Source organism: Homo sapiens, chromosome 10 (assembly GCF_000001405.40).
Source record: "Homo sapiens chromosome 10, GRCh38.p14 Primary Assembly".
Lineage (NCBI taxonomy): Eukaryota > Metazoa > Chordata > Mammalia > Primates > Hominidae > Homo > Homo sapiens.
In genome coordinates, this window is record NC_000010.11 from 124,565,094 (window position 1) to 124,587,060 (window position 21,967).

Sequence of the window (21,967 nt, forward strand, 5' to 3'; positions counted from 1 at the left end):
TTTGCAAACACGACGCCCGGCAATAAGTGAGGCCCCCCTGAGGTACTCAAGGGGCTTCACTCGCCGAAGCTCCCCTCCCCACAGCAACCTGAGCTTCTGCAAAAGCTGAGAAGCACGCATGAGAAGGGCACCTCCCCTGCTTGGAAATAATTTTTTGGTTGCAGTAGGGGGTTTTGTTTGTTGTTTGTTGCTTGCTGCTCGCTAGCTTGTTCTTGCAGAAGGAAGAGCTGGTCTCCTTTGCCATCCCTTACTGAGGGTCGAGAAATACAGACAGGTGTCTTCAGGCTCTCCGTGCAGGCCATAGTCCCCAAGAATTCACTTGTGAGCCTCTGTGGCAGTTTATGTTGAGGATTAGGTTTAGTTTGGGGAGAGGAGGATCCATGGAGCTGGGGTTCCAGATTTGATGTCTAATTTTAGAAAGGACACTATTTTTAAATCAATAGCTGTGCAGCCTAGCATATCACTCTGACCCTGTGCCCTTAAGGGACGCACTGGGGAGGACATTGTTCAGGACGGAGCCTGACAAGAAAGGAATGCTACCCCACGCCGTGCGCCCCAGGCGGCCACTGTCGTCCAAGAATTTCCAGGTCTTTTCTGGTATCACTTCTTGGCACAGGCGGAAGAAGCCATGTTCCCATCGTCCCAACATGCAGCTGGGGACCTGGAGACCGCTTTGGCCTTTCTCAAGGTCACAGGAAGGCAGGGGGAAGGCTGGCGAGGGCCCTGTGGATCCGCCCTGCTCCAGCCCGGCGTCGGGTTACAGCAGTGGGGACAGGAGGGGGAAGGGGTGTCACTGCAGGAGCTAAGGAGAAATCCAGGGTTGACACCCTCAGAAACTGGAGAAGACCAAGAAAGCAGAGCGGAGAGTGCCCCCTGCAGTCCGCAGAGGGCCTTTGCCGAGGTGGGCCTGGAGCCGTCGCCGTACCCCTGGGTGGCCCGCAAGGCCAGGCTTGGCTGCCTGGCAATGTTTGTTGTGGGCAGTTGCCATGCCACTCCGGCGGCAGCAAGAGCAGGGACAGGTGTGGCAGAGCCCGGTGGTTCCAGCCCAGCCTGGCCTCCCAGCATCACCTTCTCCAGTTACTTGAAGTGGGCCAGGTCCTGGAGACCGGGCGTGTGGTTATGGGCTCTCCAGATTCTTGGCGCCTTCCTGATTGCAGGAGTCTGGTTGGCATCATGGGACCCCTGGGAGACTCACTTTCAGGAGGGGTTGTCCTTTCCCCCCTGGGGGACACACTCTGCTTACTTGTCCCCTGGGAGCGCTGGGCAGGGAGACTGCAGGTGCCAGCCACTCCTGCAGCTTCTGCCCAGCCTCCTCTGGTGTCCTCTGCACTGTCACCAAGCCATGGCCTCAAGCAACTTGTGGGTGCCTGTGATTTAGGCCTTGGGGTGTTGGAGCCTGCTTGGACCCACTGGCAGGAGTCAGTTGTGATGTCTTTTGCCAGCTCTCTTCTGTAGCTTGAAATTGGCCACGGTGGAAGTATTTACACCATGGAAGTTGGCAAATGCACGGACCCAGCACCCCTACCCCATCCCGGAGAGCCAGTTACCAGCACACGTCTGCCTTTTGGGGTCTTTTGTGCAGGACTGATGGATGGAGTCGCAGCAGACACTTGGCCTGGCCACTGTGAGGCTGTGTGGTGGGAGGTCGGGGGCACCTGAGACAGAGGGAGGAGGCTGAGAGTCTGAGGGGGCAGCCAGGGCTGGAGGGCCATTTGGGATTCTGTTGGATTTCCCTGCACTTTGTCCAGGGGCAGAAGCCTCCCTCCCAAGGTCAGGCCCCATTTCTAGCCGTGCTGGTCGCACATCCCTGTGAGCAGGGGTGCAGAAGAGAAATGGTCCCTCAGGAGCCCCACACCCGCTCCCATCCAGCTCTCCTCCAGATGACATCTCCAGGCACTGGGACCCCACAGAGGCAGGCCCTGCTCAGCCTGCAGAGCTCCCGGTGGAGAGGGAGGGCGGGGGTCCAGGTGGCCTGAGGAGAGGGGTGCAGGCCAGCTGAGGGGGCTCCCAGAACTCCACGAGCTCAGAGACGGGCTCTTGCCCTTGCAGCCCCATCCTTGGGATGCCCCAGCCCTTCATCCAGACCTCTGCTGTGATTGTGTCAGGACCTGTCCCTGCAGTGGACTGGAAGCTCCAGGTGGGCAGGCCTTGCCGTGGTCACCTGTGTCCACAGGCCTGGGCAGAGCAAACTGATGAGTGTCTACTAAATCAGAGAGAAGACACAACCAGGGAGCGAGTGCACGCCCGGGCCGACCAGGGCTGCGGGCATCATATCCCGCTCAGCCGCTGCCTGCCCTCCACGCGCCCCTGGCTGCCTCTCTCAGCCTCGGCCCCCTCCACTCATGAGTGGGAATAAATAAGAGAGTAGAAAACGTAAGTGAGGTTCTTGTCTGGCCGCCCGGCTCATAGCAATGTTTAATAGATAGTAACTGGTGTTATGACTGAAGACGTCCTTTGTGGGCTATTGGAGTTCTTAATATCCCCGAGTAACCACAGGGCAACGCTCTGGCTTGACAAGGGGCGGCACTGCTGGTCAGCAGCCCAGCCAGCCGCAGCGGCCACTTGTGTTCCCAGCTGTGGCTTGTGATCTATGGTCGACTGAGCTGTTACTCTCCTCGGTTAGACACGCATATGCACACACATGCACACTCATGTACTTACACATGTGCACGCGCATGCAACGCACAAACACATGGACACACATGCGCATGCATGCACACACTGTACCCACGTGCACACACGAGTGCACAGACACGAGGGCTCACTGTGATCTGCTCTAATGCATGGTCTTAATAGCTATATAATATTCCACGGTTCTTTTTTCTTTCTTTCCTTTTTAAGATGGAGTCTCGCTCTGTCGCCAGGCTGGAGTGCAGTGGCGCGATCTCGGCTCACTGCAACCTCCGCCTCCCGGGTTCAAGCGATTCTCCTGCCTCAGCCTCCTTAGTAGGGGGGGACTACAGGCGCGTGCCACCACGCCCGGCTAATTTTTTGTATTTTTCAGTAGAGACGGGGTTTCACCGTGTTGGCTAGGATGGTCTCCATCTCTCGACCTCGTGATCCGCCCGCCTCAGCCTCCCAAAGTGCTGGGATAACAGGTGTGAGCCACCATGCCCGGCTGGTTCTTATTTCTTTAATTTTATTGAAGAATAACATACCTACGGAGCCGTGTGCATATCATAAGGGTACAATTTGATATACTTTCATGGAGTGAAATACATCCCTGAAACCAGCTCCGGATCGAGAAGCAGGACATTTCCCACCCTCTTCTTGCCCTTTGCCTGCAACCCCCATCCCCGGGGTGACCATTCCCCGGCCTCTGCCCCCGGGACAGTTTTGTTCGCTCCTTTGCTTTATGGAGGTGAAACCGCGCGATGAGGCCCCTTTCGAGTCTGGCTGCTTTTGCTTAGCCCTGCGCTTGTGAGATCCCTCCGCGGTGGCGTGGAGAGGTGTGGCCACTTCCCGCTTCGTGGCAAGTCGTGTTCTGCCATTTCTCCGAATACCGATGGAGGCTTACCGTGCTGGACCATGGAATGGGGTCTGGAATGTTCTCATACAGGTCCTGTGGTGCAATGGGCGTGTGCTGGCACTGGGATTCTGTGTCTAATGCTCTTCATCCTAGACCTGTGAGAGGAGACTGTTGTCCCCAGGGCAGTGAGGAGGAGGCCAGCTTTGGAGTGGTCACCCTCACCTCGCCGTTACACACGTCACTTCATTTAATTTTTAAACAACAGTCCTGCTGCCGGTGGCCTTTTCTGTGTGCTATAGAAGTGAGAGCAGGTGCCTGGGGACACTTGGAGGCCCCCCTAGGTTTGTCTGTAATGAGCTTGTGCTGGCGACTGGCATGTTCTGTCCCCCCCACGGCTCCCAGCGTGCTCCCAGCGCCCTCCCACAGCTTTAGGCAATTAAGACACGGGCTTGGAGTGGCCATTGCAGGACCTGCTGGTAATGGGGGTGAGGGGTAAGCTTTGTTTCCAAGGCAGGTCTGTGCCCTGGGGTCTTGTCCCCCTCCACATGCACACTGCCTGGGTGGGGCTCATTCCTGCGGGTAAGGCCCGGGATCAGGAATGGCTGTCTTTCTTCTGCCCAGAGGGAGCTGCTTGTGGCTTGAGGTGGCCCTGAGACTGTGAGACAGGCCACTGGGAGGCCCAGGCTCTAGCAAAAGTGGGGATTTTTTTCTCTCCCTAGTTTTGGATCAGGTTTTTGAGGTTGTGCAAACGTAGGAATGAGGCCTTTCACCCCGTCAGTTGTCTGTCGGGCTGTGTCGCACAGTGGCCCCTCGGGACAGCCTACAGAGCTGCTGTCTCTTCCAGGCATTGCTGCAGGGCCTGCTGTCTCTGCTGTCCTGGGCCAGGCGCTGAGTTCTGTCGCGGAAAGTCTGAGGGCAGAGCTGGGAGGGCAGCGTTTCCAAAGCAAATGGAAAAGGCAAACGGGAACGTGGCGGGCAGGGTGGGCAGGGCAGCCTGGAAACACCCTTTGTCCCATGCAGCTCATTCACTCGGCCAGGATTTGCCGAGTGGCTTACTGCACTCTGTGGCCCTGAACCAGGGCTGGGGGATCTCAGGGACATGTGTGTCCACAGAGATGGTCACCTGCCACCTCCACCATCACAGATGCCATGAAGGCTGTGAAGGGAAACAGACCTGTAAGGCAGCGGAGCCGAGATGGGGTTGATGAGTGTCACCAGTCACAAGCAAGGTGTCTCTGTTCTCTCTTCTACATGTTGATCGAGGTATAACACCCAGGAAAGGACATCAAGTGTACAGTTTGAATTTTTGCACACACGTACACCCGTGTAACCCCCACACAGATCAAGATGTAGAACATTCCAGCACCCAGAAGTTTCCCCGTGCCCCTTCCCAGTCAGACCCCCCGACCCCAGGTCACCCCTGCCCTGACTTGCAGTGTAGAGCTCACCCGGCCACTTCCTCTTTTGCCCACAGCAGGTGAGGAGGGCCTTCTACTGGGAAAAACTGTGACTATTAATTTAGGTTTAAAATGTATTGGTAACAGGCAGATCTGGCCAGTCCCTCCCTGGCTTCAATCTCCTTGGTAGCTTCCAGGATTACTCTTAGGAGGGACTGGAGGAAAAGCCCCTCTCTGTCCCCATGGCACCCACAGTGACCGTCACAGCCCTCCTCTGGGCCCTCACTGCCACCAGTGGACTCACTGTCTCCCTCTGCCCTGTGCACAGCTTCTTAATTTGGGTCCCTCTGGTTTAGCTCAGTGCAGCCAGAATTCACCCAGTGCCTATGTGAGTCGGGCACTGGGCTGGCCCAGGGGCCTTTGGAATGAAGGGGACAGTCGGTGAGCTGAGGTTGTCCCCAAATCAGAGGTGTGACCCTATGAGCAGCCAGGTTTTTAATTTTGTAATTGAGATATTCACATGCCATACAATTCCTCTTAAAATACACAATTCAGTGGTCTTTAGGTTTTTAATATATTCACAATGCTGTGCAACTATCACCTCTAATTCCAGAATATTCTGTCACTCCAAAGAGAAACCCTGTACCCATTAGCAGTGACTTCCCACTCCCCACACCCCCAGCCCCTAGCAGCCTCCAGCCTCTTTCAATCTCTGTGGATTCGCCCGCTCTGGGCATTTCATGTAAATGGAATCAGACGATACATGGTCTTTTGTGTCTGACTCCATTCACTTTGCTTAATGTCTTGACCGTTCATCTGTGTTACGGTGTGTATCAGAGTTTCACTTCTTTTTGTGGCTGAGTAATATTCCACTATGTGGATAGGCCACATTTTGTTGATCTGTTATCAGCTGATGGACATTTGGATTGCTTCCTGATATGGTTTGGCTGCATCCCAACCCAAATCTCGTCTCGAATTCCCATGTGTTGTGGGAGGTAATTGAATCACGGGGGCAGGTCTTTCCCATGTTGTTCTGTTCTGGTGATAGTGAATTAGTCTCACAAGATCAGATGGTTTTAAAAAGCGGAGTTGCCCTGCACACGCTCTCTTCTCTTGTCTGCCGCCATGTGAGACATGCCTTTCACCTTCTGCCGTGACGGTGAGGCCTCCCCAGTCACGTGGAACTGTAAGTGCATTAAACCTCTTTCTTTTGTAAACTGCCCAGTCTCTCTGGTATGTCTTTATCAGCAGTGTGAAAACGGACTGATACACTTCCACTTTTTGGCTATTGGGAATAGTGGTGCTGTGAACACTAATGTATAGGTTTTTGTGTGGACACGTTTCCAGTTGTCTTGGATATATACCTAGTTGTGGAATTCCTGGCTCATGTGGTAATTCATGTTTAACTTTTTGAGTAACGAGCGGCCATTTTTAAAGACTGGATAGGAATATGTAAGGAAGAAAGTAAATTTATTCACTTCCGTTCAGGAAATTTACCTACCAAACAACATGCTGAATGGGAACCTTTAGGGGCTTGGCTGAATGGCCCTGCACAAGGTGTCCAGGATGCACTGCCTAAAAGCTGTGGACCCTGTGCCTGGGAGGAGGACCAGCAAAGGGCAGAGCCCCCCGTGTTTCAGATGGAAAGGTTAAGTAATGTGACTCTGGTAATGCAGTCCAGTTCATTTATGAGATCATGGACCTCTTATACTACAGACTTTTTGTGTTTTTTTGCTGAGTCTTTTGCTCCCTAACCGTGTTCCCTGGCTGGCCACCCTGCCAGCACCACGCTGGTCCTCAGGAAGCATCATCAGTCAGAGACACAGGCCTTTGCTGTGGCCTCACATGCTAGCAGAGGAAGATAGACAACATGGCGATGGATGAGGAAGTTGGGTTGTCTGTAAGAGGATGAGAAGGGCTGTCATTAAACAGGTGGGTTCAGGTGGGTCTCATTGAACCATGAGATTTGAACCAAGACCTAGGGGGGTGAGTGAGGGGTTGGGGAAGGGAGATTAATGCGAGTTCTGGGGAAGGAACATTCCAGGTGAGGAAACAGCCACTGCAGAGCCCCTTGGGTGTTGGAGGAAGACACTCAGGTGGCTGGAGGGGTAGGGGAAGCATTGGCAGGGAGAGGCCAGGGCTGGCAGGCCTGCCGAAGGCTTTGCTTCTCTTCTGCCAGGCTGGCCATCACGGGCCTTGCACAGAAGAGAGCAATGACCTGCCTTCAGGTTTCAAAAGGTCCCTCTGGCCGCTGTTTGAGAGAAGGTCACAGTGGGATGAGGGCAGAGCAGGGGGACTGCTCAGGAGGCTTTTGCAGTAACCGACGGAGTGGTGGCGGTCACTGGCACCGAGAAGTGTACATGCTGCAAAGAAAATACTCTGTTCAGGAGACCAGGTGCGGTGGCTCACGCCTGTAATCCCAGCACTTTGGGAGGCCGAGGTGGGTGGACCACTTGAGGTCAGGAATTCGAGACCAGCCTGGCCAATATGCTGAAACCCTGTCAATACTAAAGATACAAACATTAGCTGGGCGTGGTGGTGGGTGCCTGTAATCCCAGCTGCTCGGGAGGCTGAGGCAGGAGAATCGCTTGAACCCAGGAGGTGGAGGTTGCAGTAAACCGAGATCACGCCATTGCACTCCAGCCTGGGCGACAGAGCGAGACTCCATCTCAAAAAAAGAAAGAAAGTAAGAAAGGAAAGGAAAGAAAAGAAAAAAAAGAAGGAAGGGAGGGAGGAAGGAAGGGAGGGAGGGAGAAAGGAGGAAGGGAGGGAGGGAGGAAGAGGGGAGGTGGGGAGGGCTCTGTTCACATAATAAAGAAATCCAGAGGTTTGACCATGGGCGTCATTTCATCACTGCACTTGGCAGAGGTCATCGCTGCTGCTCCCATCCAGCTCAGTCCTGTGGTCCCTGTCGTGTGTAGAAACACATACTCTGTACGTTGCTGGGATCATAGCAGAATATCAGCTCCACCAATCCTGGTTCCTCAATGGCGACACCCACGCACTCAGGGCATGTATCAGTGTGCATGGAGTTGCCTCGCGTTCAACTGCGTGGTGTGGGTAACGCAGTTGTGCCATTGTGTGTCTCACAATTCCCAGACTGGTAAATAATGTTGCTTCTAGTTTTTTGCTACTTAAGCAGTGTCACAGTGAACATTCTTTTATAAACGTGTTTGTGTTTTAAAAATAAGCTTATTTTGGAATAATTTCATATGTACAGAAAAGTTATGGAGTTAGGATGTTTTCATCCACTCTTCATCCAGTTTCCTCTGTGAACACCTCACACATCTGTGGTACATTTGTTACAACCAAGAAACTGACATTGGTACCCACACTATTCATGAGACACCAGACTTTATTTGGATTTTTTTCTTTTTGAGATGGGGTCTTACTCTGTCATTCAGGCTGGAGTGCAGTGGCACAGATCATAGCTCACTATAGTCTCCACCTCAAGTGATCCTCCCGCCTCAGCCTCCCAAGTAGGTGGGAGTACAGGTGCACGCCCCCACACCCAGCTAATTTTTTATTTTTTGTAGAGACAGGGTCTCACTGTGTTGCCCAGGCTGGTCTTGAACTCCTGACCTCAAAGGATCCTCCTGCCTTGGCCTCCCAAAGTGCTGGGATTACAGGCATGAACCACTATATCCAGTCTTTATTTGGATTTTACTACAAACATATGCTTCTGTATACTTGTGTGACTATTTGTTTAAGGTACAGTCCCTGAAGTGGGATTGCCGTGCCTGATCCTTGCTGCCACATCATCATCCCATAGGGGACAGGGCCCCACTGTCCCCCATCACTGAACAGTGTGCCCAGGTGAGATCATGGACTTGGGCCCCCTAGGCCAGCCCAGTCTCTTTGCAGCCAAGGAAAGTGAGGCTTAGCTGTCGGGGGCTGTGGGGGGATGCAGCTTGCCACACTTGACACCCAAACGCTGATTTTGTTTACATGAGACTCAGGTCCGAGTTTATGTCTGAGACCTGGGAATCAAAAAGCCACCCCCACAGCCTCCAGGGACCTGGCTCCCCTGGAGCCACCGTGCTGCCCCACAGGTGTCACCCATGGAGGCTGCAGGAGCACCTGGCGTGGTCCAGGGGACACGAAGCCCTGGTGCTGGCTCCTCCCAACGCCCCTGTGAGTTCTGCCTCCCATAGACCACATGTGTCATCTGCGTGCACATGTGTGAAACCCGAAAGACAAGCAGATGAGACCCGCCTGCCAAAATATTTGCTGCCGCGCAGAACAGTAAGTCGTTTTTGACATATGGATCTCAGCGCGCAGCCACAGCAAACAGGCAGCGTGGCGCTGAGGGGCACAGGTTTGCTGGGGGGCGTGAGCCGGGAGCATCGCCAGCAGCAGGCTCGCCCCCCTGCGAGGGCGCGCACGGATTCGCTCGCCACCAAGAGCAGGGCCCCAAGAGGGGCCCTCGGCATAGTCCCCTCGAGTCCCCAGAACTTCACAGGCAGAGAGCCTGGCTCGAGGATGGGCGGGAGCTCAGTCTGGCTTTGATCTGCGGGAGGTGTTGTGTGCAGAAGCTGTGGGCACCGGGGGCTGCAGAGCTTCAGACCTGGAGCCTGCTCCCAGGGCCGATCTGAACCCGGCACCTGTGCTGACCCAAGGGTCAACCAAAGTCCTGAGTTTGGTGGCGCCGAGGGAGGGGAGTGGTCGCATCCCACCGGGTGCCTGGAATGGTGCTGGAGGAGGCAGCATCTGATTTGGGCCCCGTAGGGCCAGAGGGGGGATTTGTAGGGACAGAGCAGGAGGGAGTGGAGCTGAGGCTGGGGGAGGGCATGGTCGGAGGTCCAGAGGTGGGAGAGGGGCCGCCATCCTGAAGCACACCCCTCCTCGTCTTCCTGAGGCCTCCATCCCTTCCTGATCTTCCAGGTCATGGGCTCCAGGCTTGGGCCCACTGCTGTCCTTCTCCACTCTCTCCCCAGGGAACCCACCTGGGTTGTGGCCTTAAACCCAGCCAGATGATGCTTCTCCAGCCTCTGCCTCCTGCCGGGCCCTCCCCTGAGCTCAGAAGCTGCCATCAGTAGCCATGCAACCTCCCCCTTGCCATCATGAAGTATCTCAAACTTGGCAGCCTCGAAACAGAGCCCTTGGGGAGTTTAAGCAGAAACAGAATATTTTTGCATAGTCTTAAAGTAATTCCCCCCACCCCCAAATATTGAGCAATTACAAAGGGCAAAATAGGAAGTTTACGGTGGAGAATCCTGGTGGACACAGCCTTGGCCAGGTGATCAAGGTTCATGTCACCAGTCATGAAGCGGCGTGCACCCCTGGTGTGCTGAGAAGGGCAGCTTACCTCCTGCAGGTGCCCTTGCCCCAACGCACCACTCAGCCTAACCATGGGGAGCATCCGACAAAACCAAGCTGTCCGCATCTCCAAGGACAGGCACACTGGGGCTTAGGGCTTCAGTGGGGGCGGAGGTACAGTTCACTCCCTAATACGCCATTTACTTGGAGAAGCCCTCTCCAGCTGCCTGAGGCAGAAGCACCCGGTTCTCTCTCTGCAGGACCCCTGCTTTGTTCTTCCTAGGATGCGTCAGCCCCTGATTTTCCATGACAGTCCCCTGTGCCCATGTCCTGCAGCCTCTCCTGGGGGCAGGAGCTACAGGGTTTCTTGACTCCTACCTCAGCACTTTGGTCCAAGCTCTGAGCAGAGACCTCTGTAGGCGTCTGCAGGACTGGCTGGCCCTTGTGTCTGTCTTTCCCCTCGTCCTGGCCCCCTTTGTCCACTCCTGCACCAGCTTCCCTGGACCCACTGCCACTGCGTCACGTGGTCGGATCTGTGTCCCCTGCACTCTCACCACCTCCAACTTGCATCCCGGTCCCCCACACCCTGACCCCCAAAGGCATTGTGCATGTGGATGAGTGAGTGAAGGAAAGGCTGGCGTGTTGGGTGTGCGAGGTCGCAGGGGCATGAGGTGCCTGGACGGCAGAGAGCCAGGGCTGGGTGAGGACCTGGGTGCCAGGTCGGGGGTCTGGGCAGCCTGGTGGCCCCCTGAAAACGTTCACATCCCTTGGGGCCTGCTGTGATACATACTAATCAGTGCTTCATGAGAAAGGTATGAGCCGAAAGAAATGGGGGTTCCCACTGGATTGGTCGTTTCTGCATTGTCCGGAGCTCTCAGACCTGGTTTCTTAACCACTGTGTTCACTGAACACCCCGGGCTTGATCAGCTGCTGAGGGTGACTTCACATGAGATTATAATTGTACTGCCTAATAGAGTGCTCACACATGTTAAAACTACCTGGCAGGCAGGAGTGAGAATACAGCTTTCCCAGAAACGTGTTCAAAGAAAAACCCATTACCAACCCGGCAGAACATAAAGTACTAGTGTGGGGTATGAGGCAGCATGTGGGGGCGCTGGGGTGGCAGCAGGGCCAGACCCCACTTCAGGGGTTGCCCCCAGGACCCCCCTTGCGGTACCCGTATATCCCACCCCCAGACTCCTTTCCATGAGCTGCTCCCAGACCCCCTCATATCCATCCTGCCTCCAGAACCCCTATATCTTGCTCCCACTCCCTACCATATGCTGTTCCCAGACCCCCCTCCATGGCCTGCCCCCAGATCCCCCTTTGCTGCCACCCCTATATCTTACCCCAGACTCCCCCATATCTCGCCCCCAGACCCTCCTCCATGGTCTGCCCCCAGGCCTGCTGGTAATATGGGATACAGAGGTCTCCTCACTGCACACACAAAACTCCTTCCCTGAGCGAGGGATAGGCAGAGCTGAGGGCGGGGGTACTGGGGGGCTGAGGGGGGTTCTTTAGGGCAGGAGTTACCTGCCCTGTAGACGGGGAGACCACATTAGTGTTTGTGCAAAGCCCTGCCCTCGTGCACCTGTCCTTCCGTAGCCCACGATACCTCATCCAGCCCGGGCCCGTGGGTGGGCTGCTGAGCACCCGACCACAGCCAGGCCTCCATGTGCCACTGTCAAGGGGACTTGGCCCGCCATGATCCTGAGTGCACAGGTACATTGCTCCGCCCTCTCAACAGCCACGACCCAGAAATAAAGTAGGCACTGTAATTTGCATTTTGAGGATAAGGAAACCGAATAATAGAGTCTACTGAGCGCATACTCAGTCTTTCCAGACCCTAGAAAGTAGGTACCATTGTCATCCTCATTTCAGAGCTAGGAGAGCAGAGGCCAGACAGGTTCCATAGCCTGCTCAGGTGGGTCCGTGCTGGACCAGGAGAAGGGCCAGGTAGGCTGATGGGTCCTGAGCTTGTGCTCCCGACCGCCAGGCTGTGTGTCTGATGGCCGAGGCCAGGGTGGCTCAGCCAAGCCCAGCCAACCCAAGACTAGACCATCCCCAGCGTCCACCCCAGCCTCCTGGGCACAGGGGTCACCTCCCACCCCTGGCCCACCCATACAGCCTTTTCCCATCTAACCTTTTCTTTAAAGGAAGGCATCCCTTGGAATGAGTCCACCCTGAGATTTTATGGATCCAAAGAAAAAACTTAATTAGCTGCATAAACTGTCAGTTGAGACTCTCCAGAGGACACACCTCCGGCTTTCAGGTTCCCCAGGGAATCTGAGGCTCTGAGGCAGGTGGACAGCCAGGTCCCTCTTTACCCAGCACCAGGTAACCTTAGAGGCCTGGCCCTGCCTTCCTCATTTTGAAATGTCACCCTGTGGTCATCTCTCCTTCCCTGATGTGAAGCAGTGACCAGTTCTGCCCCATCCTACACATGTGTGCACACATACATGCACACATGTGTAAATACACATGCATGCACATGCATATGTGTGCACACATATGCACATACCTTCACCTTCCTATCCCTCCCCAGGGGAAGGCCTTCCTTGGGGCTGCCCCTCCTCCACTCTGGCAGCATTGGGACTTGAATCTTGTGGCCCCGTCACAACTGTACTCAGCTACTCCAGCTCCTTGTGTGACCTCTCAGCCCCCAGGCTCTGAGCTACCTGAGGTGAGGTGGGGCCACACTGGTCCCCACCTCGGTGCAGCACACACAGCCCCATCCTGGGAGTGCCACCCAGGTTTCCTCTAACTGTGCTTTCCAAGGGCTGGAAGGACCTCTTCCTCTATGCCAGGTGTGCTAGAGTGGCCCCAGCCGAGAACCTGACTGGGACCAAGCCCCAGGACAGTGGTCAGGCACACACCTGAGTCGCTCTTCCTCCCATAGACACATTTGGAGTTCCCACTGCCTTCCTAGGCCCCACCACATGCTGTCACCTCCAGGAAGCCTTCACAGGTTGCTCCCTGCTGATAGCCTTGACCTGCTTCCCAGGGCATTTGCAAGGGAGTAGAACGAAGACCAAGTCCGTGCAGGGGCTGCTGGCTCTGTGCTCAGCACACGCCCCGTGACCACCTCAGGGGCGGCTCTGCGAGTCCCCACTTGACAGGTGAGCCACAGGGCCACAGGCATGGCTTGGGGTCCTCTGCGGAGCCCGATGTGTCACTGGCCCTCACGTGTCCTTCTCCGATCTGCTCACTCATTCATCCATTCATTTATTCAGCAGGGGTTCTTGAGTGTCTCTGAGGTGGAGCGTCTGCTGTGAAGGACTGGCGGGACGCAAACGGTTACCACTGGTGTGACGGGCTCTGATCAGGAGGCACAGGGTGTTGGGGAGCTCAGAGGGTGACATCTCACCCTGCCTTGGCCAGTGTGGGAGGGAGAGGGTTCAGGGAGGATGTAACTGTGTGTGTGGCAGGTGCTGTGGTGGCACAGAGCTGAGGGGACATAGGCACAGTTGCTGGATGCAGGGCTTACACCGCGCCACGCGTCAGAAGCTAGCAGGGGCTGAGCAGCATCTCTGCCCTCCCCGCTTGCACCCCCACCATCCAGTGCAGCCCAGCACCTAGGGGGCATGGGGCCAGTGCCTGGCACATTTTGTCCTGACTGTGGAAAAAAGCTCTTCACAGCCCTGAGTGCTGCTTTAGCTTTGGCTCCACCCATCTTAGGCTGCTCAGAGGCCTCAGGCCTCCCTGGAGGGCCAGAAGGGATTCCCAGGGGCAGGATAGCACGGACGGGGGGGTCCGCTGTGTAAGCCTGGGAAATTCTGGCTGCTTGAAGCTGGCACACTCCCCTGAGGCTGTTCCAGGCACAGTCACTGGGTCTCCCCGTCGAAGTGGCTCTAAGGCAGGTCTTCCCGGTTACCAGCAAGCAGATACATGTTGTAACGGGCTGAGAGTGGGTGTGTATCTCATATTCCCCAGAGGAGCTTACGGACAGCCCCTCTTTAAGGAACATCTCCCGGGCCGAGCGTTCTGAGCGCCCTCTGAGCAGGCAGCCCACCACCGGGGCGCTGGCCAGTCTGAGTCAGTCCTGCCTGGGAGGCAGTCAACTCTGGGGAAGGCAGAAGAATCACAGCACTGAGTGCCGTCCAGTTTCCCCTCAACTATATTCGCGGACACGGCGCCAACAGGGGAAAACTTACATAGCACCTATTCATTCTGAGGCCTGGCCGGCCTCTGGAAATCAGCATTTCAGTGTTGGCCAGGAAGGAGGCCAGAACTGTGCTGTAGCATTTCAATGTATGGCTGTCCCACAATTTATATTCCAGTCCCCTGATGATGGACATGTAGGCGGTTTCCAGTTTTTTTCATGATCACAGATCACACTTCTGTGAACAGCTCTGGATGTGTCTCCTTGTGCAAATATGGTGCTAGGTGTTCTTCAGAGCATTTTTCTCCAAACTTGCCGGGTAATATGGTCACCTTGGGGAGTTTGTTAAATATACATATTTCCAGGTCTGCTCTGGTGGGTCTGATATTTGGAGCCAGGAATCTTTTCTTTCTTTTAACAGATACTTAAGTGATTCCTGTGGTCCAGGAAGTTTTGCAAGCTCTGATGCAGAAGAGCTCGCTGGAGCAAACATGTATGTTCTGTTTTACTAATTAGATATACGCTGTTGATGACTCCAAAGTGGACGTGCCATTTCTGTCCCCTCCAGCAGTAGGAAAGAATCCCATTATCCCACATCCTGGCCAGTTCTTGGTATTGTGAGATTTTTTTAAACTTCTTCTCTTAAGACTATGATGGTATTTTGTTGTAATATAATCCACATTTTCTATATTATTACTGTGCTTGAGCACTTCTTCAAATGTTTGATGACCTTGACCATTGAAACTTCCTTTTTGTGAATTACCTATTCATATCCTTTGTAGCTTCACTGTGGAATGCTTGTTACTGATTTGTAGCCATTCTTTATACATTTCACTCCCACTCGTTTGTCAGTTATATGTGGTGCACACATCTGCTCCCAGTCTGTGGTTTGTCTTTCCACTTTGTTTATGGCCTCTTATTGGGACACAGTTTTAAATTAAAATATAATCAGATGTATTAATCATGATGTTGTAGTTTGTGCATTTTCTATCTTGTCTAAGAAATTCATCCCTCTCCTTGTTATACTTAGAAAGAAGGATATTCTACATTCTCCTTCAGGAGTTCTAAAGATTTGCTTTGCACATTCAGGTTCCAAATCTACTTGAATTTGACTTGTGTATATGGTGTGAGGTAGGGATTTGATTTTATTTTCTATGTGGATAACAGTTGTTCCATTATCACTTTTGAGTAGTCCACCTTTTCTCTCACTGACTTATAATGCCACCTCTGTCATGTCAGCTTTTCATATTTATCAGTTCCTGTTAAATGTATCTTTAAAGCTTTATTGAGACATAATTCACATGATACAATTTACCCATCTAAAGTGAATAATTAATGTTTTTATTATATTCATACACCATCGCTATCAGTCAATTTTAGAACATTTTCTTTTTTTTTTTCTTTTTTTTTTTTTTGAGATGGAGTCTTGCTGTTGTCACCCAGGCTAGAGTGCAATGGCACAATCTTGGCTCACTGCAACCTCTGCCTCCTGGGTTTAAGCACTTCTCCTGCCTCAGCCTCCTGAGTAGCTGGGATTACAGGCACCCGCCACCACACCCAGCTAATTTTTGTATTTTTAGTAGAGACGGGGTTTCGCCATGTTGGCCAGGCTGGTTTTGAACTCCTGATCTTGGGTCTTGGGATCCACCCGCCTTGGCCTCCCAAAGTGCTGGGATTACAGACGTAAGCCACCATGCCCGGCTATTTTCATTACCCCCAAATAAACCTTGTACCCTTTAGTTACCTCCTCATCTCTGTAACCCTAAGCAAATACTCATCTGCTTTCTGCCTTTGTGGGTTTCCCTGTTCTAAATATTTTTTATGAATGGAGTCATATAGTATGTGGCCTTTTCTGTCTTCTTTTACTCTGCGTGTTTTCAAGGTTCATCCATGTTGTAGCATGTATCAGGACTTCATTTCTTTTTATGGCTGAATAATGCTCCACTGTATGGATAGAACACAGTTATTTATTCATTCCTGTGTTAGTGTATATTTGGGTTGTTTCTGCCTTTGGCTATTGTGAGTAATGCTGCTATAAGGATTCATGGGCAAGTTTTTGTGTGGACATAGGTCTTCATTTCTCTTGAATATATGCCTAAGGAGTGGAATTGCTGGGTCACGTGGTATCTATTTTTAATCACTTGAGGAATTGCCAGACTATTCAAAAGCAGCTGCACCATTTTATGCCATTTTACATTCCCACCAGTAGTGTATGAGGGCTGATTTATCTATGTCCTTACCAACGCTTCTTATCTGACTGTTTAATTCTAGCCATTCTAGTGGCTGGTGAAGTACTATCTCATTCAGATTTTGGTTTGCAATTCCCTACAATGATGACTAGTGATGTCAGGCATCTTTTCTTGTACTTATTGGCCACCTGTATGTCTTCCTTGGAGAAATGTCTATTCAAATTTTTTGCACAATTTTAATACATACATATATGTATATACACACACACACACACACACATTTTTTCTTTTTAAACAGATTCTGCTTTGTCGGCCAGGCTGGAGTGCAGTGGCACAATCTTGGCTTACTGCAAGCTCCGCCTCCTGGGTTCATGCCATTCTCCTGCCTCAGCCTCCCAAGTAGCTGGGACTACAGGTGCCCACCACCACACCCAGCTAATTTTTTGTATTTTTTAGTAGAGATGGGGTTTCACCATGTTAGCCAGGATGGTCTCGATCTCCTGACCTCGTGATCCACCCACCTTGGCCTCCCAAAGTGCTGGGATTACAGGTGTGAGCCACCGCACCTGGCCTATTTATATATATATTTTTTAAAGTCAGGATCTCTGTCACCTAGGCTGGAGTGCAGTGGCACAATCACAGCTCACTGCAACCTTGAACTCCTGGGCTCAAACCATCCTTCTGCCTCAGTCTCTCAAGTAGCTAGGACTACAGGTATGCACCACCATTCTTGGTGAATTTTTATTTTTATTTTTATAGAGATGGGATCTTGCTATGTTGCTCAAGCTGGTCTCAAACTCTTAGCCTCAAGCAATCCTCCTGGCTAGGCCCCTCAAAGTGTTGGGATTATAGGTGTGAGCCACCACATCTAGCCTCCTTTGCACATTTTAAAAGTGGATTAGTTGCCTTTTTATCATTGAGTTGTAAGAGTTGTTTATATATTCTGGATATAAGGCCTTTATCAAATATATGATTTACAGGTACAGTTGACCCTTGAATAACATGGGAGTTAAGGGTGCTTGCTGCCTATGCAGTAGAAAATCTGTATATACCTTTGACTTCCCCAAAATTTAACTACAGATACCCTGCTGTTGACTGGAAGACTTACTGAAAACATAAACAATTGGTTAACACATATTTTGTGTATGTATTACACCCTATATTCTTACAATAAAGGAAGCCAGAGAAAAGAAAATTTAAGAAAAGCATAAGGGGCTGGGTGTGGTGGCTCACACCTGTAATCCCAGCACTTTAGGAGGCCGAGGCAGGTGGATTGCTTGAGCTCAGGAGTTCAAGACCAGCCTGGGCAACATGGTGAAACCTTGTCTCTATTCAAAAAAAAAAAAGAAGAAGAAAATATATTTACTGTTCATGAAGCAGAAGTGAATCATCATGAAGGTCTTTATCTTCATTGTCTTCACATTGAGTAGGATGTGAGTAGGCTGAGGAGGTGGAAGAAGAGGAGGGTTGGTCTTGCTGTCTCAAGGTGGCAGAGGTAGAAGAAAAACTGCATATAAGTGGGCCCATGCAGTTCAAACCCAGTTGTTAAGGGTCAACTGTATTTTCTCATATTTTGTGGGTTGTCTTTTCATTTTCTTGATGTTGTTTTTTAAAGCATAAAAGTTTTTAAAGTTTTGATGAAGTCCATTTGATCTTTTATTTTCTCTTGTTGCTTATAGTTTTGGTGGCATATCTAAGAATCCTTTGATAAATCTGAAGCCATGTAGATTTACCCCTGTGTTTTCTCCTAAGAATTATATATTCTTAGCTGTAACAGATAGGTTTTTGATACATTGTTAATTCACTTTTGCATATGGTGTGAGGTAAGGGTACAACTTCTGTTCTTTTGCATGGTGCTATCCAGTTGTCCCAGCAGCATTTGTTGAAGGCTATTCTTTCCCCTTTGAATGGTCATGGCACACTTGTCAAAAATCAGTTGACCATTGTAGTAGGCTGTTCTTGCACTGCTATAAAGAAATACCTGAGCCTGGGTAATTTATAAGAAAAGAAACTTAAATGGCTTACAGTTCTGTAGGTTGCACAGAAAGTAAAGCAGCATCTGCTTCTGGGAAGCCTCAGGAAGCTTCCAATCACAGTGGAAGGCAAAGCAGGAGTAGGCATCTCACATGGCGAGAATGGGAGCAAGAGTGGTAGGGGTGCCGTATACTTCTAAATGACCAGATCTCATGAGAACTTACTCACTATCGCAAATATGGCACCAAGCCCTGAGAGATCTGCCCCATGACCCAAACACCTCCCACCATGCCCCACCTCTAGCATGGAGGATTACAATTCAACGTGAGATTTGGGTGGGGACAAATATTCAAACTAAAGCAACCATACACACAAAGTTTTATTTCCAGATTTACAGTTCTATTGCATTGATCACTGACATGATTACTGTTCCTTTGTAGTAAGTTTTGAAATTAGGAAGTATGAATCTTCCTACTTTGTACTTCTTTTTCTAGATCATTTTGGCTATTCTGGGTCCTTTATAATTCCATATGAATTTTAGATTCAGCTTGTCAATTTCAACAAATAAGTCAGCTGGGATTCTGAAGGGGGTTGTGTCACATCCGTAGCCCAATTTGGGGAGTGTCTTAGTCCATTTGTGCTGCTATAACAAAATACCTGAAAGTGGGTAATCTATAAATAAGAGAAATTTAGCTTGGGCAACATAGGGAGACCCCATCTCTGAAAAAAAAAAAAATTAGGCATGGTGGCGTGCACCTGTAGTCTCAGCTACTCAGGAGGCTGAGGTGGGAGAATCACTTGAGCCCAGGAGGTCAAGGCAGCAGTGAACCATGATCCACTATTGCATTCCAGCCTGGGCAACAGAGCGAGACTCTGTCTCAAAAAAAAAAAAAAAAAGAAAAAGAACAGCAATTTATTTCCTCACGGTTCTGGAGCTGGGAATTCCAATATCAAGGCACTGGTAGGTTGGTGTCTGGTGAGTGCTACTCTGTGCTTTCAAGATGGTGCCTCTTGGTTTGTCCTCACGTGGCGAAGGAGGGAAAGGAGAAACAGGGACGAACAGTGTTCATAGCAGCTCTTTTATTTATAAATTGCTAATCCTGTTCATGAGAGCAGAGCCCTCATGACTGAATCACCTCCTAAAGGCCCCACCTCGAAATACTATCACGTTGCTGGTTTAGTTTCAATACATGAATTCTGGGGGGACATTCAGACCGTAGCAGGGAGCGTTGCCATCTTAACAATATTAAGTATTTTGCTCCATGAACATGGGATGCTTTTCTGTTTATTTAGATCTTCTTTAATTTCTTTTAACAAGTATCATTAATCCAAAAATCTGAAATCTGGTATGCTCCAAAACCTGAAACTTTCTGAGCACTAACATGACAGCAACAGTGGAAAATTCCACCCCTGTCCTCACGCGATGGGTCGCAGTCAAAACCCAATCAAAACCTTGTTTCATGCACAAAATTATTTAAAATTTTGTATAATTACCCTCAGGCTATGTGTCTAAGCATATATGAAACACAAATTTTATGTTTAGATTTGGGTCCCATCCCCAAGATATCTCATGTATATGCAAATATTCCAGAATCAAAAAATATATATAGAGAGAAATTTGAAACACTTTTGGTCCCATGCATTTTGGATAAGGGATTCTTTACTTGTATTTTGTAGTGTTCACAATATAAACTATAATATAATACAAACAATATAAGCTAAAATATAAAATTTGCACTTCCGTTGTCAAATTTACTACTGAGTATTTTATTCTTTTTGAGCTACCATAAATGGGACTGCATTCCTGTTAGATTTTTTCTTTCTTTCTTTTTTAAGAAATGGAGACTTAGGCCAGGAGCGGTGGCTCGTGCCTATAATCCCAGCAGTTTGGGAGGCCGAGGCGGGCAGATTGCCTGAGTTCAGGAGTTTGAGACCAGCCTGGGCAACACAGTGAAACCCCGACTCTACTAAAATACAAAAAATTAGCCAGGCATGGTGGCTGGCGCCTGTAGTCCCAGCTACTCAGGAGGCTGAGGCAGGAGAATTGCTTGAACCCAGGAGATGGAGGTTGCAGTGAGCTGAGATCGCGCCATCACACTCCAGTCTGGGCGACAGAACGAGACTCTATCTCTAAAAAAAAAAAAGAAAAAGAAAAAAAAGAAAAGATAAGGAGCCTTGCTGTGTTGCTCAGGCTGACCTCAAACTCCTGGGCTCAAGTAATCCTTCTGCCTCAGCCTCCCGAGCAGCAAGCAGGGACCGAGCAGCAGGGACCATAGGAGTATGTCACTGTGCCTGGCTAGATGTGTGTGTTTTCTTTTTTTGGAGATAGAGTCTTGCTCTGTCCAGGCTGGAGTGCAGTGGCACAATCTTGGCTCACTGCAACCTCTGCCGCCTGGGTTTAAGTGATTCTCCTGCCTCAGCCTCCGGAGTAGCTGGGACTATAGCTGTGTGCCACCACACCCAGCTAATTTTTATATTTTTAGTAGAGGCGGGGTTTTCCATGTTGGCCAGGCTGGTCTCAAACTCCTGAACTCAAGTGGTCTGCCTGCCTTGACCTCCCAAAGTGCTGGGATTACAGGCGTGAGCCACACTACACCCGGCCTAGATATGTTTCTAAAACAACATTGTGTAGGAAATTTTTCTTAGGCTGGTTCAAGGCTAACATGCTGAAGGTCCCAGGTAGTGAAGCAGGTGAACCCTGAAGGACCGTGCCCCTCCCACACCCACCCTAGCAGCTGTTCCACATTGTAGATGGATCCCTGCGTCCCTACATTGTCACCTTTCTGTCTAAATGAGAGGTGGGGAGAAGGAGGGGTGAAGACCAATGAGGTTAGTCACCTCAAGGGGTGGGGCCGGTGCAGAGAAAGATGGGAACTGTTCCCTAGTCCTCTTCCTTCTGGAGTTGGGAGGGGGAAATAGCCCTGCCCCAACATGTGATCCAGCATGGACTATGGTCAGTTACAAATATGAGTGAGCCAGGCCCCTGCCCTGAAGGACCTCCCAGATTTGTGGGGAAGACACAAACTCAGCACAGAATGGAAAGGGGCCTGGGGACACAGTGCTGTGCCGAGCTTGGAATTTGTTTCATGAAGGGACAGCCAGCAGTGTCTGTGCAGGTCCAGGGAGGCTCCACAGGGGAAGTGAGATTTGAGCTGAGGCTTGAAAGAAAGGTGGACCGAGAGGAGACGACTTTCCAGGGCAGGAAGTGGCCTGCACAGAGGCCCCGAGGCGAGAAGGACCACAACTCTCCTGTGGACCTCCTCTTTGTACGATCAGTTTTAATTACGCAAAAAAATTATGCAGTTAAAGCTTTGCTCATTTAAACAGACCTTCCCTGGATTAAGAGTAATTAGGTTTTATTGTCATTGTCTTGAAAATTGCCTTGCCATGGACCTGTGAACACAGAATTATTTATATATGTGTGCATAGAAATCATCTCATGGATTTTTTTTTAACTGAGATGAACTTGGGGGATTTTAAAGGTAACAAACAACCCCTTCTGGCTGGTGTGGGGGAAGCCCTAATTTGTAGTGCTTGCTACTTTTTTTTTTTTTTTTTTTTTTGAGACAGTGTTTTG

General features: G+C 50.9%; 1 protein-coding gene across 5 annotated transcripts in view, besides 2 other annotated features; it reads left to right on the forward strand.

Moving 5' to 3' along the window:
• The window catches only part of LHPP (phospholysine phosphohistidine inorganic pyrophosphate phosphatase), a 152,319-nt gene that overhangs the window by 103,271 nt on the left and 27,081 nt on the right, over nucleotides 1–21,967 (forward strand). The window contains exon 7 of one of the 5 annotated variants that reach the window (XM_024448122.1): nucleotides 14,649–15,194. The exons of the other annotated variants lie outside the window; for them this stretch is intronic. Within the exon in view, the coding sequence (XP_024303890.1) occupies nucleotides 14,649–14,739 (91 nt within the window). The 3' untranslated portion in view covers nucleotides 14,740–15,194. Of the gene's footprint in view, nucleotides 1–14,648; nucleotides 15,195–21,967 lie in introns of those variants that run through there. 5 annotated transcript variants of the gene reach the window in all.
• Nucleotides 1,279–1,856: an enhancer, noted in NCBI's record as "H3K27ac-H3K4me1 hESC enhancer chr10:126254941-126255518 (GRCh37/hg19 assembly coordinates)". NCBI's record gives its function as "activates a minimal SCP1, AML or CMV promoter by ChIP-STARR-seq in primed H9 embryonic stem cells {active_cell/tissue: H9 hESC(primed)}" and the evidence as "EXISTENCE:reporter gene assay evidence [ECO:0000049][PMID:30033119]".
• Nucleotides 2,380–2,549: an enhancer, noted in NCBI's record as "experimental_10873 CRE fragment used in MPRA reporter constructs". NCBI's record gives its function as "activates a minimal promoter by MPRAs in K562 erythroleukemia cells, with activity observed for both the introgressed and non-introgressed 10:126256127 variant alleles {active_cell/tissue: K562}" and the evidence as "EXISTENCE:reporter gene assay evidence [ECO:0000049][PMID:34662402]".